At 46.9% G+C, this 25954-nt stretch overlaps 1 protein-coding gene and 1 long non-coding RNA gene across 5 annotated transcripts in view, besides 4 other annotated features; one reads left to right on the plus strand and one right to left on the minus strand.

The window, feature by feature from the left end:
* Positions 1-25954, plus strand: part of ITPR1 (inositol 1,4,5-trisphosphate receptor type 1) — a 354159-nt gene that overhangs the window by 254358 nt on the left and 73847 nt on the right. For all 4 annotated transcript variants that reach the window (NM_001378452.1, NM_001099952.4, NM_001168272.2 and 1 more), the window contains 2 exon segments: positions 18825-19005; positions 20806-21059. In NM_001378452.1, the coding sequence (NP_001365381.1) occupies positions 18825-19005; positions 20806-21059 (435 nt within the window).
* Positions 1084-1276: a silencer, noted in NCBI's record as "fragment chr3:4790473-4790665 (GRCh37/hg19 assembly coordinates)". NCBI's record gives its function as "represses an EF-1alpha promoter that drives an FKBP-Casp9 reporter gene in an ReSE screen in HepG2 liver carcinoma cells {active_cell/tissue: HepG2}" and the evidence as "EXISTENCE:reporter gene assay evidence [ECO:0000049][PMID:32094911]".
* On the minus strand, positions 1487-3885 carry EGOT (eosinophil granule ontogeny transcript). Its single transcript, NR_004428.1, has 2 exons — positions 3241-3885; positions 1487-2305 (listed from the first exon to the last, which is right to left on the minus strand). It is a non-coding gene; the product is annotated as an eosinophil granule ontogeny transcript (long non-coding RNA).
* Positions 1938-2007: an enhancer, noted in NCBI's record as "active region_19353". NCBI's record gives its function as "activates an Ori minimal core promoter by ATAC-STARR-seq in GM12878 lymphoblastoid cells {active_cell/tissue: GM12878}" and the evidence as "EXISTENCE:reporter gene assay evidence [ECO:0000049][PMID:35858748]".
* Positions 6573-6682: an enhancer, noted in NCBI's record as "active region_19354". NCBI's record gives its function as "activates an Ori minimal core promoter by ATAC-STARR-seq in GM12878 lymphoblastoid cells {active_cell/tissue: GM12878}" and the evidence as "EXISTENCE:reporter gene assay evidence [ECO:0000049][PMID:35858748]".
* Positions 19040-19334: a silencer, noted in NCBI's record as "tiled region #7157; HepG2 Repressive non-DNase unmatched - State 16:ElonW". NCBI's record gives its function as "represses a minimal TATA promoter and a strong SV40 promoter by Sharpr-MPRA in HepG2 cells {active_cell/tissue: HepG2}" and the evidence as "EXISTENCE:reporter gene assay evidence [ECO:0000049][PMID:27701403]".

A 25954-nucleotide genomic window follows, 5' to 3' on the forward strand; every position in this document is an offset into this window, starting at 1 on the left:
TACATGTACTTCCAGCAAGTTCCAGGTTCCCAGGTCTTAGGAAAGTTAATGACAGGAAGACTGTCCTACAGAACTTCCTCACTGTGGAAGAGATTGACAGCAGCTCATCTAATTAGGGCCGTTATGAAAAGTTGGATTAATAGCGATTTTTGTTTTTCGCTTGCGTCTAAAGAAGCATATGTTCTTTGGCATCATGTGATGGTTATTAGATCTCAGCTTTTGCCCGTTTTGCTCAGAGAAGCTAAATGCACCAGATACTCCCCACATCTGAGTCTTTACTGGTTGAAGAATATTCATGTTTGGGCGAAGGGAAAGGGAGGAAGGTCTTCTCATTTTATAAAGTGCCCAGCACTGTGCGTGGAGCCAGTAGGTACTCTATCTGGGCTACATGGAATAGTCCCAATTGCAGATGAGGAAACTGAGTCTGAAAAAAGCCATGTGTCTTACCCAAAGTCACCCAGTTGGCAGAGCTGGGATTTGAACACAAGGCCCTCAGAAGTCTCTCAGCTTTCTCCCATGCTAGCCAGCCTTTAAGTTACATGAGTACAATGTGAGGGAGCTATTCAGTGCCCTGTACCCACTTTGGAGCTCTGCCTACTAGAGAGCAGTGTCTATCTTGTTTTCGTTTGGGGTGGGAACAGGCTGCACTGGTTATTTGATCTGAGAAGCAAGTAGTCACTGCTTGGTTAGCCAATGAGTTTTAAAGGTAGACCTTTAAAATGGAGTGGAATGGAAGCACATTTTTTTTTAATAACAATGCATGAGCTTTTCCTTAATTTCTGCTGGTGTCTTTCTTGTGGGTAGCTTCCTCACAATTGTTAGAGGAGAGCTTGTCCCCGACAGAAGAAAGGCTCTTCCTCAGTTATCGTTTCTGTAGGTTTTCTGGAATTCATCTTGAGGGTAAGAGTGAAGGCTGGGATGCACTGCAGATAGCTATTGCAAACCCCTCTACTATTTCCGATTAGTGGATACGTGTGTGAGTTGTATGCCTGTCTTATATTTACAAGAGGAAGTATCCCGTTTAATTTTACTTTCACACCAAAAACCCAAGTGTTAAGAGAACGCGGTGTTTTAACACTCCCTCGGTTATCAGCTGCAGAGCGGAGGTTGTATATTGTCACATACAGTTTTTGGAGTATGTTTCTACATTTGTTACCTGGCAACATTGCTGCACTGGGACGCGAAGTTGTATTGGTTCCCAGCAGACCCTCGCTGTTCGTACTGTAGAAGGCAGAAGTTGTTTTCCTCCGCGGGGATTTAGAAGAGAAGGCACAAGGCTAGTGGGGTTTGGCTGACAGATGGGCTGATGCGCTTCGGTGACATGACCCAGAACCAGGCACTGGGCAGGGGATGTGGACTCTTGTCCTGTCCCAACAACAGCTCCCTGTAATGCAAGGTCACGTGGTAGACAAGGGTTAGTATTAGGTAACCTTGAATACTAATTCGTGATTCTTTATCTTCTCAAAGTAAAAACAAAAGAACAAACTTTTGTTCTGGTCATTTTATGAGTCATCTGAGCACTTGCAGAACCATAATGGCAAATAGCTAATACATGGCACCTTTTCAGTTGCTCACATTGGATACCCAATTCCCTGCCTTCATTTATGCATTATTGTGGTTTTGACCACCTACTGGTTCTGATGAGAGAGGAAATCCCGTAGTAGGAGTGATAGCCAGAGCATCTCTTGCTGAGGTGACCCCCTGAGCTGATTATAGCCCTATGGGGTATTTTGTTTTGCTGATACATAATACATTGAAAACACTGTATATAGAATTTTTTGAATGCTTAAGTGGGGCCTCCATATACACTGAGATCATTTTATCCCCCTACCTTCCACTGCACTTCACTGACACTTAACCCCGAAGACATTTGCATTGGAAACTTCGCATTATCTGTTTGAAAGTCCTCTCAGTTCAAGCCACACATTCTAAGACTCAGCAAAAGCTTATTGACACCAAGGGCATTGAATTCACCAGCACCTGTAACGTTTCTTGAAGAATGCTTGCTAGGGAAAAGTTCCCATGGTAACTGTTTTTAAAAGAGTTTTGTAGCATCAACAGGTTAGACAGGAAGTCAAAATCATGGAGCTCAGCAGCATCCCCTATAAGCACGTGCTCCTTTTTAACCACCCCTAACAAAGACACTGAAGCACCCTGTTCATAAGCCCTGATGGGCACTGGAGGGTCTGGCCAGGTTGGGCTGGATTTCAGGGGACCTGATTTGTGTTTCCCTGTGCAGTGCTCGTTTCCATCACCATCTTTAAGGAGGAGGCCTTTTCCATCCACTGGACTCTTACCATCGTGCCTGTTAAGGAACAAAAAGACAACTGCTTAGGCCTGGAGGGTATGTGGAAACCACCAGTTACCTTTGAATATACCTGTGGTGCTCGAACCTCCTTTAGAAAACCCAAGATGCCATTTTAATGATGCTTTGCTCTTGGGTATCAAATTTACTCCTTAATTTACCTCAGGAGATGTTCTAAGAGGAAGCCACAAGATTCCATACCTGCTGTTGTTGTTTTAGAGCTGGTGGATTTTTTTTTTTTTAATCCGCGGAGGAGGACTTGACCCTGTGGGTTCCTAACTTGGATGGCCATGCAGAGCACCCTTAACTTGGAAATCTATATCCTGCTGTTTAAACTTCAAGATGATTCCTATCTGGATTAAAGTCCTCAACCAGCAGGCCGAGGCAAACTCTAAAGAAAAACAAGGTCATGCTGCATTTTTTTTTGGTAAGCACAGGAATCAACAAAGAGATGTTATATAACTTCTATTTATATCCTCCTTGCTCACTATCTGCAGGCAGACAAGAGTCGCTGAGAAGGGATTTAATGAGCTCTCTGGGTTTGCTCACCTTCCTGAGCTGGTAGGAACCAGCTTGTTCTCAAATGCGTCAGTAAAGAATCTGGCTGTGGGTGGGCGGCCAGGGTAGGTGGACTGCGTTGTTGCTATGGTGTTTTTTAATTCCCCTGTCTCTCAAAGATCTCACTCCCCCCTTCCCTGACTCCTTCCTTTTGCCCCCTTCCTTTCTTTCTTTCTTTTTTTTTTTAAATCTGTAAGCTTCCTTGTTTCTCACACCTACTCATGATTCTTGGAGCTGTCTCCGGAAACAGAATATTTTCCCTCTCCTTCCTAAGTGCTCAGCTCCCCCATTGTGTAGCCCCGGGACATCAGAAGTTGTTTTCTAAGGTGTGTTTTTTCCACCCTCCCTTATTTCTTTTCCCATGATTTTTTTATTACCAATCCCTCCATGAGAGAGACCTATCCTAGGAGTCTTCCATCTTGCCTGATAGAAGTTTTCTCTGGCATATTCCAAATTCAGATTGCTCCAAAACCAGGTGAAGTCTGTTGCTAGTTGGACAGTCGGTATGGCCTGGAGGAGAAGGGCTGTTTGTATTTCCATGCATCCTCCTTTGTCCTCTTGCCCTGGGTGAAGCAATGACGTCTCTGTCTCCTCTAGTGCGTTATAAAATAGAACCGCAAGAAAACAAGAGAATGGGTTTACCCCACAATCATAATTCCTGGAGCTTGGGTAACTCCTGTTACCTGAAGGTTGCAGGTTGAAATGACTCAGCTTGCATTTAATTAAAAAAAAAAATGCTGCCCCATCAGATTCTCAGCAGGGACGACGAATGCACCTTGCTGAGAACCCTATGGCTGCCCAGGGAGTGGCCCCCTGCACCCTGGCCGGCCTGGTGGTGGCCACAGAGGCTTCTGAGATGGCTCTGTGTTGTCCATCACATTCCCACCAGAGCAGAGACACTTAGAAGATGTGAGTAGGGAGGTTAGGATGAAAAGTTCTTAGAAAAGAATATGTAGTTCCATGAGGACAGGCTGAAAAAATTTTTAAAAAGCCAAACCCACCTCTGCCTTGCCCAGAAGTTGTGCAATCCTTAATAGCAGTAGCCTGTTTGAATAATCAGAGGCAAGCTGACTTCCCTTTATTAACTTCTGTTAGAGACATCTGCATAAAATATCCCCGGATTCCAGACCAAGTAGGTAATTTTTTTTTCCCCTCTGAGTAACGGGAGGGACTTTCCCTTTGGAAATCTTCCAGCAGAGTTAACTTCATGGTTGAGACTGTTTTCTCATTATAAGGTGCCAACAGCTAGATTCCTGATGCAGGGACAGTGAAGGCGCCTCATGTACACACTTGGATCCCCTGCTTCCCTGAGAACTGACTTGATGTTCACAGTTGCCTCTGGTTCTTCTGCCTTGACCCTCCTTTTCACGGAGAAATCTATGCCCGCTCACATTTCCTGAGGTCCTCTGAGTTCCTCTTTGAAACTGTCAGAGGCTCTCTCAAAGTTTCTACCAATTTCCTATTCCTGGGTTTTAGACTTTTGATCAAGATGGCTCTGACACTGAAGGGGATAGTCCTGTAAACCCTCTGAAGTCTTCAAGCCTCGTTTTTCCCCTGGAATTCAGGACTTTAAAAATATATATATTTTATTGCTCTTCGAGGAGGATGTGTTGCAGTTGCCCTCACCATATGGTATTTGAGAAATATGTTTTTATTAGCCTCCTTGCAACACAAACCCACAAACTGTTGAGCCCAGAGCTTGTAGCTATCAAGTCTGGGGAGGGAGCCAGGTTTGGAGACGGAAGGTGCACAAATGATCATCCCTCCCGGGCTGTAGTTAATCATGCAAGCTGCTGTGTCACTGGGGCCGGGGTAGTTAACAGTTAACTCGATGGATTAAGGATCCTCAGCCAGGCTGAGCCCATCACAGAGTTACGTGCAAAAACCGGATAAGCCCGTAGAGGTGACAACACCACATCAGCTGCCTTTGGCTGGTCTGCGGTGTGCTGCATATTCCCACTTAGCAGGACTTTGAGCTTTCACATGCAGGCTTCTTCTGGCCATAAAGTTATACTTCAGCTGCCATGGATGCAAAGCTTGGCTTGAGTGTTTCGGAATTGCACCTCCTTCAGGATTATTGTTCATTCATTAATATAGTAAATTTTTTAAAAAGAGAGAAGAGGCCTTACTGTGTTGACCAAGCTGGCCTTGAACTCCTGGGCTGAAGAGATCTTTCTGTCTCAGCCTCCGGAGTAGCTAGAACTACTGGCTTGTGTCACCACAGCCGGCTTAATATAGCAGATGTTTACTTACTGAGCACTCCCTGGGTGTCAGGTGCTATACACATTGGCGTCAATACAGTCAGGGATGAGACCAACATAGCCCCTGCCCTCCAGGAGCTTACAGTCTTGTGGGAGACAGAGCTAGGAAATCAGCTCATCATCAGCTAAATCAGAGCTTCAGAGAAGTGTGATGGGGAAGCAAACAGGCGCCACGAAGCGTGGCCAGGGAGGGCTTCTCTGGGGAGATACCGTTCAAGCTGAGACCCAACAGATGCGAAGAGAAGGAGCTGTGTGAAGAGTAGCAGAGGGCAAGAGTATTTCAGAAGAGGGTTGGCTTGTGCTTGGGATGTTGGAGGAGCTGAGTGAAGGAAGCTAACGCGGTCTACCCCATGGTGGTCGGTCAGGGGCAGAGCTGCGGAAAGTATCTGCTCCACCAGGGTGATGGGCTTGTCATCAAGTCGGGGCTGGATGAGGTGATCTCTGTGGTTCCCGCCGATCCCTAGTCGGTGCTTCTAAAGGGCACCAAGTTGGCTTGGGCCTGTCCCCTGCTTGGATATGCGCTGCCGCCGCCAAAGCCCTAATATACAAAGCAGCTTTACCCAGATGAGTGCTGTGTGATTTCACCCTGCCCTGCTCTAACCGCTTGGCCATCTGTACATCTTACTGTCAGCTGCCAGGGATGCTCTCTGTGGCCGTGTGGAAGTTACCTGGTGGGCCAGCACACAGCAAGATGGGGATGCAGGGTGGGGAGACATGAAGAGTCCCAGAGCATTCTGCTGGGGACCAGACTCGGCTGTACCCGAGAGTCAGTTGAGTTGGGAAGGACTAGGGTTGACTGGGGGTGACTGCAGTCTTCATCAAGGAGGCACTTGCTTTGCTTGATGCTTTGCCACCTAAGCCAGTGTCCTTGCCTCCATCCGGCCTGAGTGGATTTATTTTTTTCGGCTTCTATGGCCAAGTGTCCTTGTCACAGTTTGTGTGGAGAGCAGCGAAGGGAACGTGGCTGGTGTAGACACCCTGCCGGTACTGTGCGGGCTCTCACCTGTTTTCTCTCCTGCACTCCTTGCAATAGAATCTCAAGTGGTTCTCCTCCTCTTTCTCCATTGCAGATGAGGGAACTGAGGATGGAAGTTAATAAATGAGCTGTCCAAACCCACCCAGTTCCTAAGTCACCCCTATGCGTATGTTTCTACCTTGCTAAAGATGCAGGATAGAGATCGCTTTCACTGAGCCGTGTGACTGCACAAACACAGAAAATGGGGGGGGGGTGGCAAGGATTATTCTTGGCATCTGTATAAATTTCAAGTTGAATTCCCTGGGAACCTCGGAGCATTGAGGACAGGAAATGTTGGTTGGTGTTGATTCATTGTCCCTCAGGTACACAGAATGGAAATAAGACCTGGGGAGTTGTTTCCAGAGATCGACTCCCCTGACCCTGCAACTCCTGCTTCAGCCCTCGCTCTCCACGATGCAGATTGCCACCCCCATGGAGGAACAGCACCCAAGTCACTGCCAGGTCCTCAGCACTGGACCCTCCTCCCGGGAAGAGGACTTGATGATAGAATTTTCCAAGCACCTCTTGCATCTGTCTTTTCAGGGTTCATGAGACAAGGTGGAGGTCTGATGAGAAAGTCTTCATGTCCTCCTGGCCACAGTTCCCACAGTGATCATGTGGGTGAGCTGAGACAGGACCTGAGAGTTTCACAAGAGCCACCAGAGGATACTTGTCATTGAATCATAGAACCAGCCCTGGAAGCCACCCTCAGAGGCTAGCATGTGTCTCCTGCAGCCCAGACATGCAGTTCACATTGTTCATTCCTTCTTTATGGACTGAGATTTTAAAGCCCTCTGATTCCTTGGACAAAAGTCCTTCCTGAGATCTAACCAAACTCTCCTTTGCTTTAGAGTACCTTTTTAATAAGCCTCATATTGGCTTGAAGAGCCACCAGAACACCTTCTTGCCCTCTTGGAGGATTACCAAGGAGCTTCCTACCACAGTCCCCTTCCACTTCAGGCAAATTTTGATGTTGCATCTATTTTACATCTGTTTTCAAGGGTATCGTTGATTTGACACTCCACTGGTCATCTTTGTTTTGTCTGGAGGCTTTCCAATCTTCATGACTTGGCTGGAAGAGACAGACGGCTGTGCCGTGTATCCCCACAAAAGATACTGGCCTTTGGCATCTGTTTGACTATTGAACCCAGAGAAAATTTGGAGTCTCCTTAACTTCTTGTTCCTGGGTCAGAGCCACAGGGTCCTCCAGGGTGGTGGCTGACCTGCTTCTCTGAAATCTGGTTTTACTGTTGAAAATTGCTGGAAACAGTGGTTGCCAGTAGCCTGCCTACACCATCAGGGGCTTCCTACGATAATACCTTTAATTTTTTTTTTTTTTTTTTTTTAGGAATTACTGTTTGTTGGTTGAGTTGTTGTTGAATATGTGTGAAACTGTTAGCGTTCTGATCCACACAGGGTGGAGGGGGACCACGCTGCTTACCAGATAGGGCAGAGCTTTCCCAGTAAGTCCCAGTTCCCGTGGGCACTGGGAGACAGGAAAGGAGAGCTGTTGAGCTTTCTGTCTCAGAAGAAAGGTGTTTTTTCCCCCAATTAAAAACATTTTTTTTTTTTTTTTTAGACATGGGGTCTTGCTATGTTGCCCAGGCTGGTCTTGAAATCCTGGGCTCAAGCAGTCCTTCCACCTTGGCCTCCGGAAGTGCTGTGATTACAGCTGTAAGCCACCATACTGGACCCTGAAAAGTGTTTTTAATAGAACAGGTTGGACTTTGCTGCTTGAAGAAGACTGAATTCACCTTGAAAATCATCATGAAGATCCCCTGCCTTGGCCTTGACCCTGGAGCTTAGGCCGTTCCCCAGAGCCCAGTGACCAGATTAATAAGAGTGAAGGAAGGGTTCTTTGTCCTCCACCTTTTCTCTCAGGTGTCAGGCATAGCGAAGGGCGTCTGCCCCACCCTTGCCTGGCAGGGTAGTTGAAACTGGTTTGTCTCTCACTTGTTAAAAGGTGACTGTACAGTGTGGATGAGGGAGGACCTTATTTCAGACAAATGAAATTGAAATGTTGACACCTCTCCAATACAGACTTGCTTCACTTCATCGCTTCCTTTCTACTTGGAAGTCTATGTTATTTCTGAACTCATTAAAGCTGGAAACATCCTGAGAGAGGCTGGTAAACTGAGAGCTGCAGATGTTGGCTGGTTGAAAGCCATCAGACCTTGCAAAAAAGTTTCTTGTTAGGGTGAGTGATAATTTATGCCAAGGGAGGGTCCAATTCTGAATGCCCATTGTACTCACTATTAGGCCCTTTTCATAGGTCAGACTTTTGCTGAAGTCGAGACTGGTTTAAAATGTTGGGAAATGCTTTATGTGGAAAGGCTGGGGATTACTTGAGAGGAGGGTCTGACACAAGCTTGTATTCTGCCTTTGGGTGTATTAAACTTTGACAAGCGGAAGCAACGATGTTTATCTCTGCACGTGCAGAAATTTGAATGGCTTTTATAGCTAGTGAAATTTCAGCCAAATTTTTTTTTAACTTTTACTTTAGGTTTGAGGGTACATGTGAAGGTGTGTTATACAGGTAAACTCATGTCACTGGGGTTTGTTGTACAGATTATTTCATCACCCAGGTACTAAGCCCAGTACCCAATAGTTATTTTTTCTGCTCCTCTCCCTCCTCCCACCCTCCACCCTCAAGTAGACCTCAGTGTCTATTGTTTCCTTCTTTGTGTTCATGAGTTCTCATCATCTAGCTCCCACTTATACGCCAGAACGTGCAGTATTTGGTTTCCTGTTCCTGCATTCGTTTGCTGAGGATAATAGCCTCCAGCTCCATCCACGTTCCCACAAAAGATATGATCTCGTTCTTTTTCATGCCGTCCAAACTTAAAAAAAAAAATTCTACATTGTGACACTTAATGGGAATTGCCATTCATTGTGTTTTTGCTGTCAATTTAGAGGCCATTCAACCTACCAGAACCAACTAGAATTATCACTGGATGCAAGTTGGACACTAGTCTTTGGCCATTTATGTAACACCCAGCTCTTTTCTGGATCCACCTATCTTACACCTTCCCTGGAAAGGGGTATTATTGTTAGACAACTGTAGCACCTTCCATCTGAGTAGTTCTTGGTAGTAATCAAAGTGTTTTTCACACCTACTGTTTCATAACAACCTTGCTGGGTGGGCCCCAGCTTCCATGTGATGCTGACATGGCAGGTGGTAAGACCCTCATTTTTTAGCTAAAGAACCCAGGGCACAAATGAAGTTAAGTAAATTGCCCACAATCACATGGCTGGATAGCAAGGAGCCAAGGCCAAAATGTAGGTTTCCCGAGTTCCAGTTCTCCAGGCACTCTCTGCCTACCCAGGTGTGTTTTATTACCTAGTTCATGGTTCCTGGTCTTTGAGTTTTGATTGTAATCATTGGTTTCTAAAAAAGGACTCCAGACCCACAGCAGTCATTGTGTGACAATGGTTTTGTTAATAATTTATTACCCCAGCCCTGGCAGCCCTTCAGCTTGCAGAAGGGGATTGTTTGGGAACCCATATTAACAAATGTATTAAACGTCATGGGAAAGTTGAGGCATTCGAATGCATGTGTACCTTCTGCCACTATTCTTTACTGTGAGAGGAGCCTGTTTATGCCTCTGAAAGACCTGGTGGGTAGGGGTAGGGGTGGGGTGGATTATAAAATGCCAAAAGGTGTTCAGAACAGGACAGACTCTTGCTCAGGGGAGAGGTGTTTAACAGAGCATGTGGTTGGGAACAGGGCTGAGGCGTCGGACAGGTGGGGCTTGGGTGCCAGGGCACTTATTAGGTGGATGACTCAGCGGGTTACTTCTTGGGGCCTCAGTTTCTTCATCTGTAAACTGGGGATGATAATGGCACCTACCCCATGGGGTGCTTCTGAGGATGAAATGAGATAATGCATATAAAGCGCTTAGCGCCCGGCAAATCGGAAACGTTCAGTTGCCGTTCACTATAATAAAACTTGCAGAGAGAGGGTCCCCAGGGAGTGGGGAGTTCTCAGTTCACCACAGGTGTAGGAAGACAGCCAAGGTAAGCCCCACCTCTTGGTAGCCACTGGCGTTGCTCTGTCACCCACAGAGTATCTGTTCAAGCTGGGCAGGAGTGGGTTAGTCTGGTGGGAGATGTCCTCTGAAGTCCCTGAGACTCCCAGAGTTGATGTGAAAAGAGAAAAATCAAAGATGCCCACAGAGAATTTTCCTCAGCCTGTGGAAACTCAAGCTTTGGCTCACTGTTTGGCAGCCACATTTTTCAAATTCTTGGCCTTAACCTGAGAACTTAAATCATTCTGCAGCAGGTAAGTGAGCAGCCGTGGTGAGTGTCATGGGCTAGATGGGTCAGGGCCATGTCTTATGAGGCAGTGAGGTGGAAAATCCCATTCTCTGGATTCTCTCAAGGCCCAGAGCGAGGGCTTCTGAAAGGTGGACCAACTTTTAGAAGCTGATGGAAATGCTTTTCTTTGAGGAAGGATCTGAGTCCTGCAGCCGTCACTCTGTGCTGGACTGCTCCCCCGCAAGCCATGCCCGCTCCCACCAGGCTCCACCCTGGGACACATACATCTATGCTCCCCGCCACTGCCCTGTCTTGCAGCTAAGATGCCACAAAGGGGCTCCTCCCCTAGAATGGTCTGGTGGCCCAGAAACGGACAGGTAGGCTGGCTCACATTCCAGGGAGCACCATGATCCTTGGACTGCAAGGCCTGTCTTTTCCCCTGAACTTCCTGAATTCTGGGAAAGATGGCTTCATGGGTATATGTCTAGGTCATGGAGAAGATTTGTCTCTCCTATTCTCCTCCCCAGGACCACTTGTTTACACAGTTTGATTAGGACTGTGACCTCTTGCACCTAAAGAAAGGAGTGTCCCCCTTTGAACTAGGTAATAAAACACACCTGGCTAGGCAGAGCGTGCCTGGAGAACTGGAAGTCGGGAAACCTAAATTATGGCCTTGGCTCCTTGCTATCCAGCCATGTGATCGTGGGCAATTTACTTAACCTCATTTGTGCCCTGGGTTCGTTAGCTGAAAAATGAGGGTCTTACCATCTGCCATGTCAGCATCACATGGAAGCTGGGGTCCAGCAAGGTTGTTATGAAACGTTAGGTGTCAAAAACACTTTGATTACTACCAAGAGCTACTCAGATGCAAAGTGCTACAGTTGTCTAACAATAATACCCCTTTCCAGGGAAGGGTAAGATAGGTGGATCCAGAAAGGAGGTGGGTGTTATGTAAATGGCCAAAGACTGGTGTCCAACTTGCATCCAGTGATAATTCCAGGCCCTCTGTCTCCCTGCTGTCACCGAGGTGGCCGTCACTGTCCACTAGCCCCTAACCTCGGGGTGGCTCTTGTTCCTGAAGCAAGGCAGGCTCGTCATAACCACGCTCCATGGCTTTGCAAGGACTTGCAGGGCTGGGGGAGGATGGGGGAGCCAGGCTAATTAAGCAATATTATATTATTTTCAAGGCTGATCTGAAAAGGTAGTTTTGTTATTCTTTTAATCTAAGACCCGGATTCATTGGCCCCTCTACAGCTCAGTCAACCCAAGGAGGGAAAACTGTCTACTTGACAATTATCAGAAGGTAAGAATGTAAACTCGGGTTGTAGTTTCAACCAGCCACACCCCAGTGTGGTCAAAAGTAACTGTCTTGGGCAGTCAGGGGAGGGAGGTTCTGTGTGGCCCTGGCAAGTCTCTTTCCCTTTCTGGGCTTCAGTTTCCTCATCTGTGAAATGTGGAAGGATGGACGACATGGGTGGTTTTCAAGTGCTGCTCTCCTGAAGTTCCAAGGAGTTTCAATGGCAAGAGGGAGGGGACCCTCTTTGCTCTGCTTCATATGGAGCTGTTTTGCCTTTTGTCTTTTATCTAGCGGCGTCTTTATCCTAAGATGGTGTTTTGGGACCGGAGAGGAGCACGTTACCCTGCTGAAAAAGGCATTTGGAAACTGCTGGATTCCAGTGCTTCCAGCTGCAGAGTTCTGTGATCTGTGTTCTCTTGCTCTTTTGTTGTGGTTGAAGGTTGGCTGACAGCAGCCATGCCCACTTCCCTTTCCCCCTGTCCAGTGGATTCAGGATGGAAACAGCCACTGCCGGGGTCACTGCCTCACCCTGCCCCTGCCCCTGCCCTGGCCTTTTCCTTAAAGCGTATCTGATCAGATCTGTCATCAGGGATGTCTGGGACTGGTGCTGAGGATCTGCCCGCAGACCAGCTTTGTGTCTTCTGCTTTCCCAGCCTTTGACTCCGGCCTCACTGCTGGGGCTGGTTGTCTGTGTCGGTTCAACGTGCAGATGGGAGGAGAGTTGGTTGTGGCTCTGCCACAAGTCACTGACCTCTCCTAACCCCAGCTCTCTCATCTATAATGTGACAGATTTATGAATGATGATATCTGCCTTGGCAATCTCCTAAGACTCTGGTGAGACAGCTTATATGGAAAGGGCTCTGGAATCAAATGTGATTTGGAGACGACTGGAGGGTGAGGAGAGGTCGGCCTGGCGGGGGCAGATGCCGTTCCCTCTGGTGGAGAGGCAGCCTCAGAAGGTGGCCCCTCTACAGAGTTCCCCAGCTTTCTGGGAACAAAGCAGACTTTCTGTTATCTTTTTTTAATTATTATTATTGTGATATAATTGACATATAATCATAGGCACAGATTTTAAATGTAGACTTTGATTCGATATGACAAATGTTTCTATACCCATTGTACCAGTTTTCTGTGGCTGCTGTAACAAATTCCTACAAACTGAGTGGCTTAAAGGAACCAAATGTATTGTTTTATAAGTTCAACATGAGTCTTACTAGACTAGACTAAAGCAAGTGTTGGCAGGCCAGCGCTCCTTTCTGGAGGCTCTAGGGGAGAAGGCTTCCTTGCCTTTTCCAGTTTCCAGAGGCCACCCACATCCCTTGGCTTGTGGCTCCTTCCTCCATCTTCAGGTTTAGCAATGGTGAATGGAGTCCTTCTCACATTGCCTCTCGCCACCCTCCTCTCCTGCCTCCTGCCTCCACAGCGAAGGCTCCTTGTAATTATGTTGGGCCCACCCGGGTAATCCAAGCTCATCTGTCTACTTTAAGGTCGGTGATTAGCAGCTTTTGTTCCATCTGCACCTTTAATTCCCCTTCGCCACATAAGACAGCATTTTCACAGGTTCCAGGAACTAGAACATGGACATGTCTGCGGGGACCATTCTGTCTACCACACCTGTGAAACTGCCAACCTAATCAAGACATTTATTTTCTTCTAGAAAGTTGTCTCATTCCCATTTATAGTCCTTTTCTACTCACAACCCCCCACCCTCCAGAGGCAACCACCATTTTGGTGTTTTTTTCAACTTTTATTTTAGATTCAGGAGGTAAATGTGCAGGTTTGTTACCTGGGTATATTGTGCGATGCTGAGGTTTGGGGGGGTTCACCCAGGTGGTGAACATTGTACCCAAGAGTTTTGCAGCCCTTGCCCCCGCCCAGGCACTCCCCACTGTCTGTTGTTCCCCTCTTTATGTCCATGAGTACCCAATGTTTATCTCTCACTGACAAGTGAGAAAATGTAGTATTTGGTTTTCTGCTCCTGCATCAATTTGCTTAGGAAAATGACCCCCAGCTGCATCCATTTTGCTGCAGAGGACCTGATCTCAGTCTCTTTTATGGCTGTGTAGTATTCCATGTTTTATATGTACCACGTTTTCTTTACGCAGCCCACTGTTGATGGGTACCTAGCAACCACCATTTTGATTTCTCTCACCATCACCTGATGTTTCCCAGTCTGGGCCAGGTTTATGTTGAAGGGCTACCTCACACCTGCCAGGTGGGGTGGAGTGAAAAGTTTGGAAAAGTAAAATCTCTGATGATTTGCTCTTGGTCTGGGTGAAGAGTGATGAATTGAAAGAGGTTCCGGGAGGGAGAGAGGGAGGCAGTGTAGCGGGTAGAGGGGCCGTGCTTCAGGAGCCTGGGGCGGGGAGGCTGTGCACCCACCTTCTCTGCTCTCAGCTCCCACCAGCCATAGGGAGACAGTCCTGAGGAGAACATTCCATTCCCCACCCAAGCCCTGCAAACGCATCATTACAGAAAGAGGCTTAATGAACAGGTCTGTGACTGTGTGGAGGGCTCTTGTCTCTCTAAGTCTAGGTCACACCAGGTAGCAGAGGGGGCAGGTGAATGCCTCCAGCAGCCACAGCCAGCAATTCCAGAAGGCCCTCCCTGAGGGCCCTCTGCCTCCCTTCGCTCCAAGGGCACGCCCCTTCTAAGAAGAAGTATGTTAGTTCTTTACCCACACTACCATCATGTTTCACTTCTACTCTTGCAATAGATACCACTGCTTCTGTTCTAGAAACCCCACTTCTTTCTTCGGGGGTACCTTTTTAATTTTTTTTATTTCATTGAGACAGAAGTCTCACTATGTTGCCCAGGTAGGCCTTGTAACTAGCTCCATGGGTTTTTGGGTGAGATAACATGTGAAGGTTTGCCTGAGCTCCTGGTAGCTTGAAAGCAGTCAGTGAGTGTTAGCTATCGTGTTACTGTAGTGATCTCATTGAACCTTCACAACCATCCATGAAGTACGATTATTGCCCATTTTGCAGATGAGAAGATTCGAGTTTCAGAGACATTGTCACTTTCTAAGGTGACACTCGCTAGTAAGCGGTGGAGCTGAGATCCAGGCCTTTCTGACTCTGGAAACAGAGCTCTCACTTTGCTCTCCTGTCCTAGCTGCTCACAGGATCACCTTCACCTTGGAGTTTTCACATTCTACTAATGTAATGGTAGTAGAAAAACAAAATTAACACCATCAGTTTGCACTGTACTAAGCACTTGGCATGCATCATGGCAGCCCTTCTATGTGGATTCAGAGAGGCTGGGCAGTGTGCCCAAGTCCACAGAGCCAGTGGGTCAAGGACCTGGGACTCACACCCAGGCAGTCTGACTGCAAAACCTGCCCTGCTAATTCCTCTGTTAAGAAACACCTTCCCAGTGTGGCAATTCCTCAAAGATTTAGAACCAGAAATACCATTTGACCCAGCAATCCCATTGCTGGGTACATACCCAAAGGAACATAAATCATTCTATTATAAAGTTACATGCATGCATATGTTTATTGCAGCACTCTTCATAATAGCAAAGACATGGAATCAACCCAAACGCCCATCAATGATAGACTGGATAAAGAAATTATAGTACATAAACTATGCAGCCATAAAATGTGGAATACTATGCAGCCATAAAAAGGAATGAGATCGTGTCCTTTGCAGGGACATGGATGAAGCCAGAAGCCATTATCCTCAGCAAACTAATGCAAGAATAGAAAACCAAACACCACATGTTCTCATTTACAAGTATGAGCTGAACAATGAGAACACATGGACACAGGGAGGGGAACAACACACACTGGGTCCTGTTGGGGGAGGCAGGAGTTGGGGGAGAGCATTAGGAAAAAGAGCTAATGCATGCTGGGCTTAATATGTATGTGATGGGTGGGTTGACAGGTGCAGCAAACCACCATATATTTACCTTTGTGACAAACCTGCACGTCCTGCATAGGTACCCCAGAACTTAACAAATTTAAAAAGTTTCTAAAAATTACTTGAACAGAATAAAAAAAAAAGAAATGTCTTCCTTCCGTTGAGGCACTGGTTGTATATCTCCTTTTGATACCAAGAGTAGTGTAACTGAGCACACCTCTCATTTCATCTTGACCTCAGAGCCCAGCCTGGGACTCCTCTGAATCCTCATTCCCCATTCTCCAGTTCCCAACCTATTCTCTTTTTGATTTTCTGTGCTTACTTGTGTCTTCTAGACCTTATTATCCATTTTATTATTTTATTGAGCACATTCTATCAATAAAGCTGCTTCGAACCCTTGAGCGACTGAGGACTGGAATCAGTAATGCGAAACAAACCTAGTGACCGTGGCGGAAACACACACAGCAATGTGGCGTTCTCAGCGCCTGGCCCTGTCTCATCTCATAAGAGCTTCCCTTACCCTGACCCTAGCGGTTGACAGCCATTGGGTCACCCGATTGGCCGTCAGACAGCGCGGTCCGTGGCAGGCTATCTGTGTGTGTCGCGTGGCGCTGCTGTCAGATAACAGATGGCGGGCTTTATTTATTCATTTACTTACTTACTTGAAGGGCTTTTGTTTCCTTGAATGACCAGATTGTCCCAAAATGCTTTTAAAGCTGCTTCCATGCCATGAGAACACAGCTGGGATAGCAGCTGAAGCGAATGGCCCTGCACGGCCACCTTCTGGTGCACCCCAGCTTTAGCGGGCAGTCCTCTGTAAGCCCGCATGGGTGAGATGTTGGATGGTCTGTCTTGGTGAGAAATTCAGTCACCATAATTAGGTGGCTTCAGGTTGCATTCTTTGCCCCCATGATTTTTTTGTCTCCTTTATTGACCTGAGGGTTCAAGAGCTCTCAAAGAAGTGAACAACTGAAAGTTGCTTTCTCATATTTGAGCAATTTTCTAGAATTCATTTATTTTGGAGATTTATTTCTGTCATGTCCACCAAATATAAAAAGGATCTGACCATGGGGAGGGGGGCATCCAGTTATGGGGAGCCATAAAGTGTTGGGTTATATTCATTCTTTTATCAAATAATCATGGAGTGCCTTCTATTTGCTGGGCCTCTTCTAGGTGCTCTGGGGGCAGCTGGAAACCACTCAGGCGAGGCATCTGCCTTCACAGAGCTTGCACTCTGCATAAGGCAGACAGTAAGGAGGTGAACGGTCAGTGCAACAGTGCAATTCAGAGGCCTTGATTGCTGTGAAGAAGATGAAACAAGGCATGGAGAATAAGCAATAGGCTTGGGAGCTGCTGTAGGGGCAGCCTCACTGAGCAGGTGGCATTGGTGGTGGGCCCAAAAGATGAGGGGCCCTAGCTGTGGGAAGAGCTAGGAATATAAGAATAGGGCAGTGGCATTGAGCGTCTGCCACAGCTTTGTTTACCAGCAGCCTCCTGGGTCACTTTTGTAGGGGTAAAAGGCTATTTAGTAAGTAGTCATTATGGTGATTGTTGAATTACTATGTGTTTTCCTCCTGAGGCTGTCAATTTCATGGGGGAAAGGTCTAGGCTCCTTTTTGTTCACTTCTCTTATAACTGACATAGTGCCCACCTTGTGACAAATGCAAAAATAAGTAGTGGGTGGCTGGATGGATGGATGGATGGATGGATGGATGGATGGATGGATGGGTGAATGGGTGGGTGGGTGGATGGATGAGTAGGTAGATGGATGAATGGATGGATGGATGAAATAGCAGGAAACCTAAAAGAAAAGAAAAGAAAAGAAACGAGGCAGTAAAAGGCAATGAAGGACACTACAGACTTACCTTGGTTCCAGAGTGGGAGTCGTGAAGGCCTCAATGACATGGAGGATGACAAGGCTAAGCATAGGGGAGGTGGTGACTTGTGTCCTGGCATTTGGCAGTGGCTGGAGGGAAAACGAACCAGGGAGCACAGGCAGGATGGATGGATCCTGAGCTGTAAAAAGCAACCAGAGGTAAAGAAGAACAGTTGGAAGGAAGAGAAAGGGCATGACCAAGAAGTGCATTGTGGGCAGACAGGACAGATGTTTGTCCACAAAGTGTGTGAGTCAATGGCTGGAGGAGTCAGAGTAGCTGAAGTTGCATGTCGACGATGGAAATCTGGTGGTTCCCTAGGGCTCTGCTGAATCAGGCATTGGGGTGTGTGTATGGGTGAGAGTTTTAAGAGTAAGGTGGCTTCAAGAAGGTGATAAGATTTAAGTTCTTTCTGGGATTGGAAGCCTAGGACTGCCTTCTGTAGGGAAGTGCCATCTTTCCAAATGGAAAGATTTGAAATTGGCAGAAGATACACTGGAAGAAGCAAATATATTGTTGGGAGCTTTGTTTTTTTTTTCTCTGGAAATGACCGTATTGTATTTTTATGTAAATAATTTACAACAGCGTGGTGTTTGCAAAGGGGTGAAAAGCGAATACTCATAAATGAAGTTGAGACACCATATTGTGTTTTTCCATCAACAGTGTATACTATTGCTTGCAGAGGGTCCAAAAACAAATGTGTATCCAAGAGGAGAGCTACCTGTTCATTCTGAGCTTCTTCATTTAACCACTCTTACCTGTCCTTTGAAGCCTGATTTGAAGATGACCTTTTTCTTGAAGATTTTGGAGTCACTATAGCATAGTGTCATCCTCACCAGCTCTGAGCATTTATAATATAATTGTGTAGCTACCTGAGTACTTTTTACTTAACATAATTTAGTCTGATTTATGGACATGTCATCCTAACCTGTTAATGAGCAAAGGCAGCATATCTTATTCATGTGTATATTTTTCATAGGGCTCTGCCCAGGGGAAGAGTGCATAGAAGCCCTTAAACAAATGATTGGCCCTGCAGTAATCCCCCCAGAAAAGCTCAGTTTTCATTATTAACAGTGTTGTTTTGCGTGTGTGCAAGGGTGGAAGGGAATTGTTCTTAGTTGGCAACAGTCTGCCCACCACACTCGAGCATGCTCCCAAAGCCTATGTGTCTGTTGCAGCCACAGCAATTTGTTTCAAAGGCTCTGTGTTGAAAACCCCAGGCCTTAGAACCCAGAGAACTACAGTGTGTGGAGTGGTCCTTAATGTTGATCTAAACTTAGATCATGCGTGAGGTTTTGCAACTGGCTCTGATCTTCATTAGGTTTTGGTGTCATGAGTGGGGTGCAGTTTCTGGTCAGTTACAGTGTTCACAATCTATGGATTTTCCTTTGCAGCACTCCTTTTTCTGTCGCTTGACAGAAGATAAGAAGTCAGAGAAATTCTTTAAGGTGTTTTATGACCGGATGAAGGTGGCCCAGCAAGAAATCAAAGCAACAGTGACAGTGAACACCAGTGACTTGGGAAATAAAAAGAAAGACGATGAGGTAGACAGGGATGCCCCATCACGGAAAAAAGGTAAATGTTCCTCAGTCTTCAGTCAGCTGGATCATGAACACCAGAAGAGTCCTTGTTATCCTTCATTGTTTTCATTACTTCTGTGCTCTAAAATGCATTATGATGGGAGCTTTCAGAAGAAATGCCAGCCTGGTTATGATGTAATTCTTCCTCAGTGACCTGAGCTGAAGCCCTGCTGCTCAGAAGGATCTTCCTGTTTAATAAAGAACATTCCTCTTGGTCGAGCTTAGGGTTTTATTGGCAAGGGATCCATGAATAATCTTTTCCTGTGATTCCTATTCAATGTTAGAGAAAGTTGAGGGAAATACGTATTTTAAAACTGGGTGTTAGTCCTTTGTCAGATAATGTTCTTTTGTTTTCCGAGGTATTGGAAAGCTTATAAAGCTTTTTATCCAGTATCTCACCAGAAGAGAAGTCGTACTGGGCAGTGGGTAGACCCACAAGTGTTGGAGTCAGATGGTCTTGAGAAAGTTAAGCATGCTGAGCCTCACGTTTCAAGTTTAGAACTGGGTTTCTCAACCACAGTACAAGTGACATTTGGAGAATTCTTTGTTACAGGACTGTCTGGCTGTCCTGTGCACTGTAAGATACTTAGCAGCATACACATTCTCTACCCAGTAGATGCCAGCAGCATACCCCTACTCCCAGAATATCTCCAGACATTGCCAGTTGTCCCCTGGGCGGGGTTGGGGGCAAAATCACCCCTGGCTGAGAACAGCTGGTCTAGACAGGAGCTAAAGAGAAGAAAAAGAAGAATGGCTACCATTTACTAAGTGCTTACTAGGAATCAGGCACTGTTCAACGTTCTTTTTTAAAAAACGAAATCTTGGCTCTGTCTCACTCTGTTGCCCAGGTTAGAGTGCAGTGGCACGATCATTGCTCACTGCAACGTCCAACTCCTGGGCCCAGATGATCCTCCCACCTCAGCCTCCTGAGTAGCTGGGACTGCAAGTATGCACCACTACATCTGGCTGATGTTTAAAACAATTTTTTGTTTTGTAGAGATGGAATCTCACTATGTTGCCCAAGTTGGTCTAAAACTTCTGGCCTCAAGTGATCCTCTTGAGTAGCTGGGATTATAGTCCAGCCACTGCGCTGGACTGTTCAAAGTTCTTTACAGTTCCCCTCATTTCAGACTCATGTCACCACCGCAAGATAGATACAATTGAGGTACCTCCATTTTACAGATGAGGGGACTGGGGCACAGAGATGGTAATTAAGTCATTACGGACATGCAGCTAGGAGGCAGTGGAGCCAGCATTCGAACCCAGCGTGTCTGGCCGCAGAGTCAGTACTGCTAACTGTAATGCCATAACTACCTCACAGGGTTATTCTGAGGATGAGATAAAATAACACACACAAAGTTCTTCATCACAGTGCTTTGATAGTTACAGAAGGGTCAGGCATTACGACAACAATAATTGTGATTAGCATTATGTTGAGCTTCTTAAGAACTTTCTTGAGATGTTATTCACGGATGCTCTCCCATTTTAAAGATCAGGAAGCTGAGGCCCAGAACCTTAGATGTGTGAGGCTGACAGAACCTGTGCTGAGGCTTTTCCTCTGAAACACACTGTACACGTAGGTGAAATGGTAGATCCACAAGTAAGGTGGCAGGGCCTGGCTCGGTTTTAATCCTGTCTGAGGACTGAGAGCAGATTGTGACTTCTTTGAGTGTTTTGCCAACTTTGAACGTCTCTAGGAGATAAAGGAATGTAGGTTTCTGAGTGTCACCTTTGGAGTGGTGAATAGGGCCCATGAGGACTCTGCAGCCTTTCATGCCTTATGCTTGCTTTCTAGCTAAAGAGCCCACAACACAGATAACAGAAGAGGTCCGGGATCAGCTCCTGGAGGCCTCCGCTGCCACCAGGAAAGCCTTCACCACTTTCAGGAGGGAGGCTGATCCCGACGACCACTACCAGCCTGGAGAGGGCACCCAGGCCACTGCCGACAAGGCCAAGGACGACCTGGAGATGAGCGCGGTCATCACCATCATGCAGCCCATCCTCCGCTTCCTTCAGCTCCTGTGTGAAAACCACAACCGAGACCTGCAGGTGAGGGCCTGGGGGTGGGGGCGTGGAGGGAGCTCGGGAAAGGCTGCCAAGGCCTGCCTTCCTCTGATGGTTCAGCACCTCTCACTTGGGCCAGATTGCTTGAGCCAAGGATCCAGCAAGGTTCTTTTTTTTCCTTTTTCTTTTTTCTTTTTTCTTTTTTTTTGAGATGGAGTCTCGCTCTGTCACCCAGGCTGGAGTACAGTGGCGTGATCTTGGCTTACTCCAACCTCCAGCTCTTGGGTTCAAGCGATTCTCCTTCCTCAGCTTCCCAAGTAGCTAGAATTAGAGGAGTGCCTGGCTAATTTTTGTATTTTTAGTAGAGATGGGTTTTCATCATGTTGGCCAGGCTGGTCTCGAACTCCTGACCTCAAGTGATCCCCCCACCTTGGCCTCCCAAAGTTCTAGGATTACAGGCATGAGCCACCGAGCCACCGAGCCTGGCCAGATCAGCAAAGTTCTGTGATGCAAAAGCCTGGGCAAGTAATGCCCTTGTCTGTCTTCCCTGCTGTCTCCAGAGACCACATCTTGTGCACCAACATAGGTGCCTGCCCCATATATATTTGTTAAGTGTCTGTATGTGCCTATTGATGTGTGTGTCTTGTAGCCTGTCACTGTTAGACATCTAGGCACTCAGGTAAAAATGGGATGGATGGATGGCTAGATAATTAAATATATTAGATTTCTAAAATTGGATACATAGAAAGTTCTGAATAAATATTTGTTGGTTGAATGAAGGAAATGGCTGCCTTTCAGTGATTTACAGAAAGAGGTGCTCAAAAATATTTGCTGAACTGATTATTCCAGAAATCCTTTGTTCATTTTGTTGTTTTTGTCTGATAACAATGGGCAAGGTTTGTTAGGCACTTATGATATCCTGGATCCTAAGTGTTGCTTATATGATTATATTATATAGATGAGGAAACTGAGGTGCAGAGGACACAGGGAGTGCAGAAGTAGGACTTGAACCCAGGTAGTCTTACACTAGAGCTCATGTTGTTAACCAAATGCTGAGAGACAGAGGGCACATGATGTCCCTTGCAAAGTTTCCCAGCAGCAGGAGCTGTTTAGGAAGGGCCGAGGATGGATCGTAGAGATCCGCTTCTTTCTTCCGAATGGGTCTGGATCTGCGGAGGGCCCTCACTGCCCAGGAGAAGTGTGCTGGAGCACTGGGTCCCTGGCTTTTGCCTGGGTTTGTTGCCAACTCCTGGACCTAGGGAAACCACCCCCTTTTTGCCTGAATGGTGTGAGGATGAACAAGGAAAGGGCATCTGAACCTCTATCTCCTTTGTGGTGGAATGTTTCCTCCTAAGACACTCCAGTCAGCCGTGGTAGTTCTGTGTACTTGGGTTATGAGGGTATGGAAAGGAAATAATGCTAGTCCAGATCTGGCCAGGGAAGGCACAGCCTTTAAATATTTACCTGGCTGACCTTATCCCCCAGGTGACTTGATGCCTGTCACACCTCGATTGTGGCTAGACAGTTGGTACTGCCGCAGTGAATTGCTCTCACTTAAAACTTGCCACAGAGTCTATGCCTGGATTAGCTAAGAAATTATATTGTTAATTAGTAAGGCAAACAGTGAAATGGAACTGAGAGAAGCCTGCAACGTTAATACCTTCTATAGTTGTTTGAATTTTCAATCAGATTGAAGAACCTCAACTTTGAAAAAGCATCTGAGATCTGAGGTCCTCACCTGGCCAGATCTGACTCATGTTGGAAAGTGAAGGAATTTCACACAAACCCCACTGTCGGCCAGGCTGGACCCACAGTACCATGTGGCTTGCATGCTAGTGGGGGCCCCTCCAGATGAGGTGGGTTCTTTCTTTTCTTTGGTGCCTGGCCCATTTCAGCCTGTGGTGCTCCCTGCTTGATCCCTGTCGCCATCTGAGTGTGGGATCTCAGCCATCGGTTTCCTTAGTTTTCTTGTCAGTTGCTCAGACTTTCCTCTTTGGGGCGTTAGAACACCTCAGCCCTAGATTTTCTTGCCAGGACTGTGTAGTCCAGTTGGGTGGAGCAAAGCACTTATGCCTCAAATGCTCAGGGCCTGGTTACCATCTCACTGGCTGATAACCTCTATCTGAAGGCCACTGTTTCCCTGACATTGTCCACCCTCCACCTTCCATAACCCTACCACTAGTCACGGGATTCAGGCAAAGGGGGAGTGAGTGACCCACAGAGGACTAGATGCTGAGCGGCTGAGCTTGGCATCTCTGTGGCTGGGAGTGGGGGAATCCTGATGCTGGGGACTGTTTCTGAGCAGAGCATGGTGATCAGTGCCCCTGTACTATTCCCCTATGCAGGTGTCACTGGTCTCTGCCAGCCTTGGAGTCCACAGGGGAAGTAGGTTGAGATGATGCCCAGGCATGTGTGTGTCATTTAATCAATATCAGTGAATCCCTGCTCTGTGCCCAGCACCCATGGTGACAGGACCTCACCCCTTCCTTCACAGAGCTGAGTCTAGGGTAGCAGCCACTTGAACTGAATGGAAGCAGCCACTCCTTAGAAGAGAGGAACCAACCCATTGCAGGTCCAGGAAGGCCTCTCAGAGGAGGTGGCATCTGCTGAGTTCTGAGCTTATGAAACTCAAGACTGCCTGGAGTAGAATCCCTCCATGAGTGTCAGAGGTGCAGTGCCAATGTGCTTGTTCCCGAGCTTAGCTCTGGTGGTATGGGCCTGCTCCGCCTTCCCTCTCTCCCTGACCTTCCCTCCCTCGCCCACACACCCACTTCCTTCCACTGTGAAAGCGGAGTAAGGCTTTAATTGCACAGGTTCATCATTTCTTGTTTGGAAGTCTTCAGATTTTTAGTTTTATACCTTAGCTTTCTGCAGAATTCTCCGTTGAATCAATGCCCTGGGAACCCCATGGACAGAAGCACCTTTTAATGAAGTCCTTCCAAAACTCGTTCCTCAGTGCATTGCTCTGTTGGAAACAGTGCTGTGGGGTGTTGGGGTGTATAGTATATTTTAACATATTTTAACTTAAAAAAAAAAGACCTAGCAACATAATGTTTGAAGGTATCATAAAGATTATCCAGTTCAGTGCTTTAAAACTTTTTGGCTTGGGGGAGCGCACGGGATCCTTTGTTGAAATATACTAAGTACAGCAGAGGAGAGCAAAGCTGCTCTGTTCGGAGTGGAAACTAGAGTGCTCCCTCACCTACGAGACCCCTGGGATGGTAGGGAGGAATTGTAGGGAGCCCCCAGGGTTCTGCAGGGCCCAGTTAGAAGCCCGTGATCTGGACCAGTGGTTCACAAGGATGGAGGTTGGAATCATCCTTAAAAACTCCTGCAAAATCAGATTCTCTCAGGTGGTGACTTGCCTCCAATAAAATTATGGTGTGTAGAAATCCACTTCTCCAAAGAATAGTTTTAAGCAGGACTCAGCCACTCTGAGTGCCATTCTGTGGCAATATCCCAGAACAGGGGGTGGGTCACTGGGTCAGGGATTCCTCTTGGATCGGAGGGAAGGAGAAGGCATTCTCATAAGGAGAGAGTGTTCAGCTTCCTGGTGTAAAGCAGCTCAGAGTCAGCACAGAGGGAGAAGGAATCTGGCCTTTTGCAGCAGCACCCTTTGGGCTCGTGCCCGGAGTTGCTTGTCATATTTATAACCTTAACTTTCCTGTTGGTAAATGTTCAGAAGAGATAAAGTCACCAAGTCTCACTTTGCCAAACAGGCAGTTGCTGCCTTAAGCAAGCCTTGTTTACAGTGGTCAGAAATGTGATGGGAAAAACCTCTCTTCAGCCAGTTGGCATGTGTTTGGGGACCCTCCCCTGAGAAGCTGGCTTTGCTTTTCCCCTGGGGTAATGAATGCAGGTCCTGATCTCTTTCCACCAAAGTCTGTCTAAGCACAGACTTGAAGTCTTCCATTTCCTTAACCCACCCATCTCAACTTGGTCCCAGGCTCTTCAAGGAAGACTGCAAAAAGGGCAGGATTTCTCTAGCTTGGACAAGGCAGGGTGGTACATGCTGAAGGGGAGTTCTCTTCTCTAAGAAGGAGTTCCCTGTGCCTCGTAGTGAGTGGTGTGCCTCTGTTTATGGAGAGGGCCAGAGGAAATGGATCTGAGTCTGGGACAGATTCTGTCCAGACACTCTGAAAGCCATGAGAGATGGGAGAGGCTTTCAGGAATGGGCAGCCATTGTCTTCATGGGGAGTTTGAAACACGTGGGCCCAGCTAGCCTTGAGGACTTCCCAGTCCTCTTCCCTCCATTCATTTCATTTAGTTCAGATTATTTCATCCAGTGTTTACAATGCAGCTGGTAGGTGCCAGTCCCTGTGCCAGCTGCTGGGCACCCAGCGCTGTCAACGTGGTCCTTGGTGAGTTGATCGGTCCCTCTGTACGCACATCACAGGAGTGAGGAAGGCTGGAAGAGGCGACTTGCGATGCTCCCATCTCACTGGAGTAGGGCTCAGGGGTCGGAGGAGCTTCCTAGAAGTGACTTTAGACCACATCCTGAAGGAAGAGGAGTCATTCAGGGTGGAGGCCTCGAGAGCAACAGGCAGAGGGCATTGCCTGGTGGGAGCCTGGAGGCCAGGCAGAGAATGAGGAGTGCTTGAAGTGTGTTGTAAACACTGGTTGAAATAATCTCAATTAAATGAAATGAATTCATTGGGAGTGGTAACAGAAGTTTGAGAGACAGGTGTTATAAGAGTTGCCTCTCAGATGTTATAAGAGTTGCCTCTCTTTCATCCATAGAGACTTGGTTGTTGGTTTAGACTGTATCTTCAAGTCCTTTTTCTATATATTCGAATGGGAACATTTGTTACATATTAATCTATATGCCTTTTTAAATTCACTGGGAGCAGTAACAGAAGTTTGACAGACAGATGGGCCAGGAGAGCCTTGCTGTGAATTTCAGCCATGGACAGCCAGGACCTCTCCAGAGTTGTCCCAAA

Source organism: Homo sapiens, chromosome 3 (assembly GCF_000001405.40).
Source record: "Homo sapiens chromosome 3, GRCh38.p14 Primary Assembly".
Classification (NCBI taxonomy): Eukaryota; Metazoa; Chordata; class Mammalia; order Primates; family Hominidae; genus Homo; species Homo sapiens.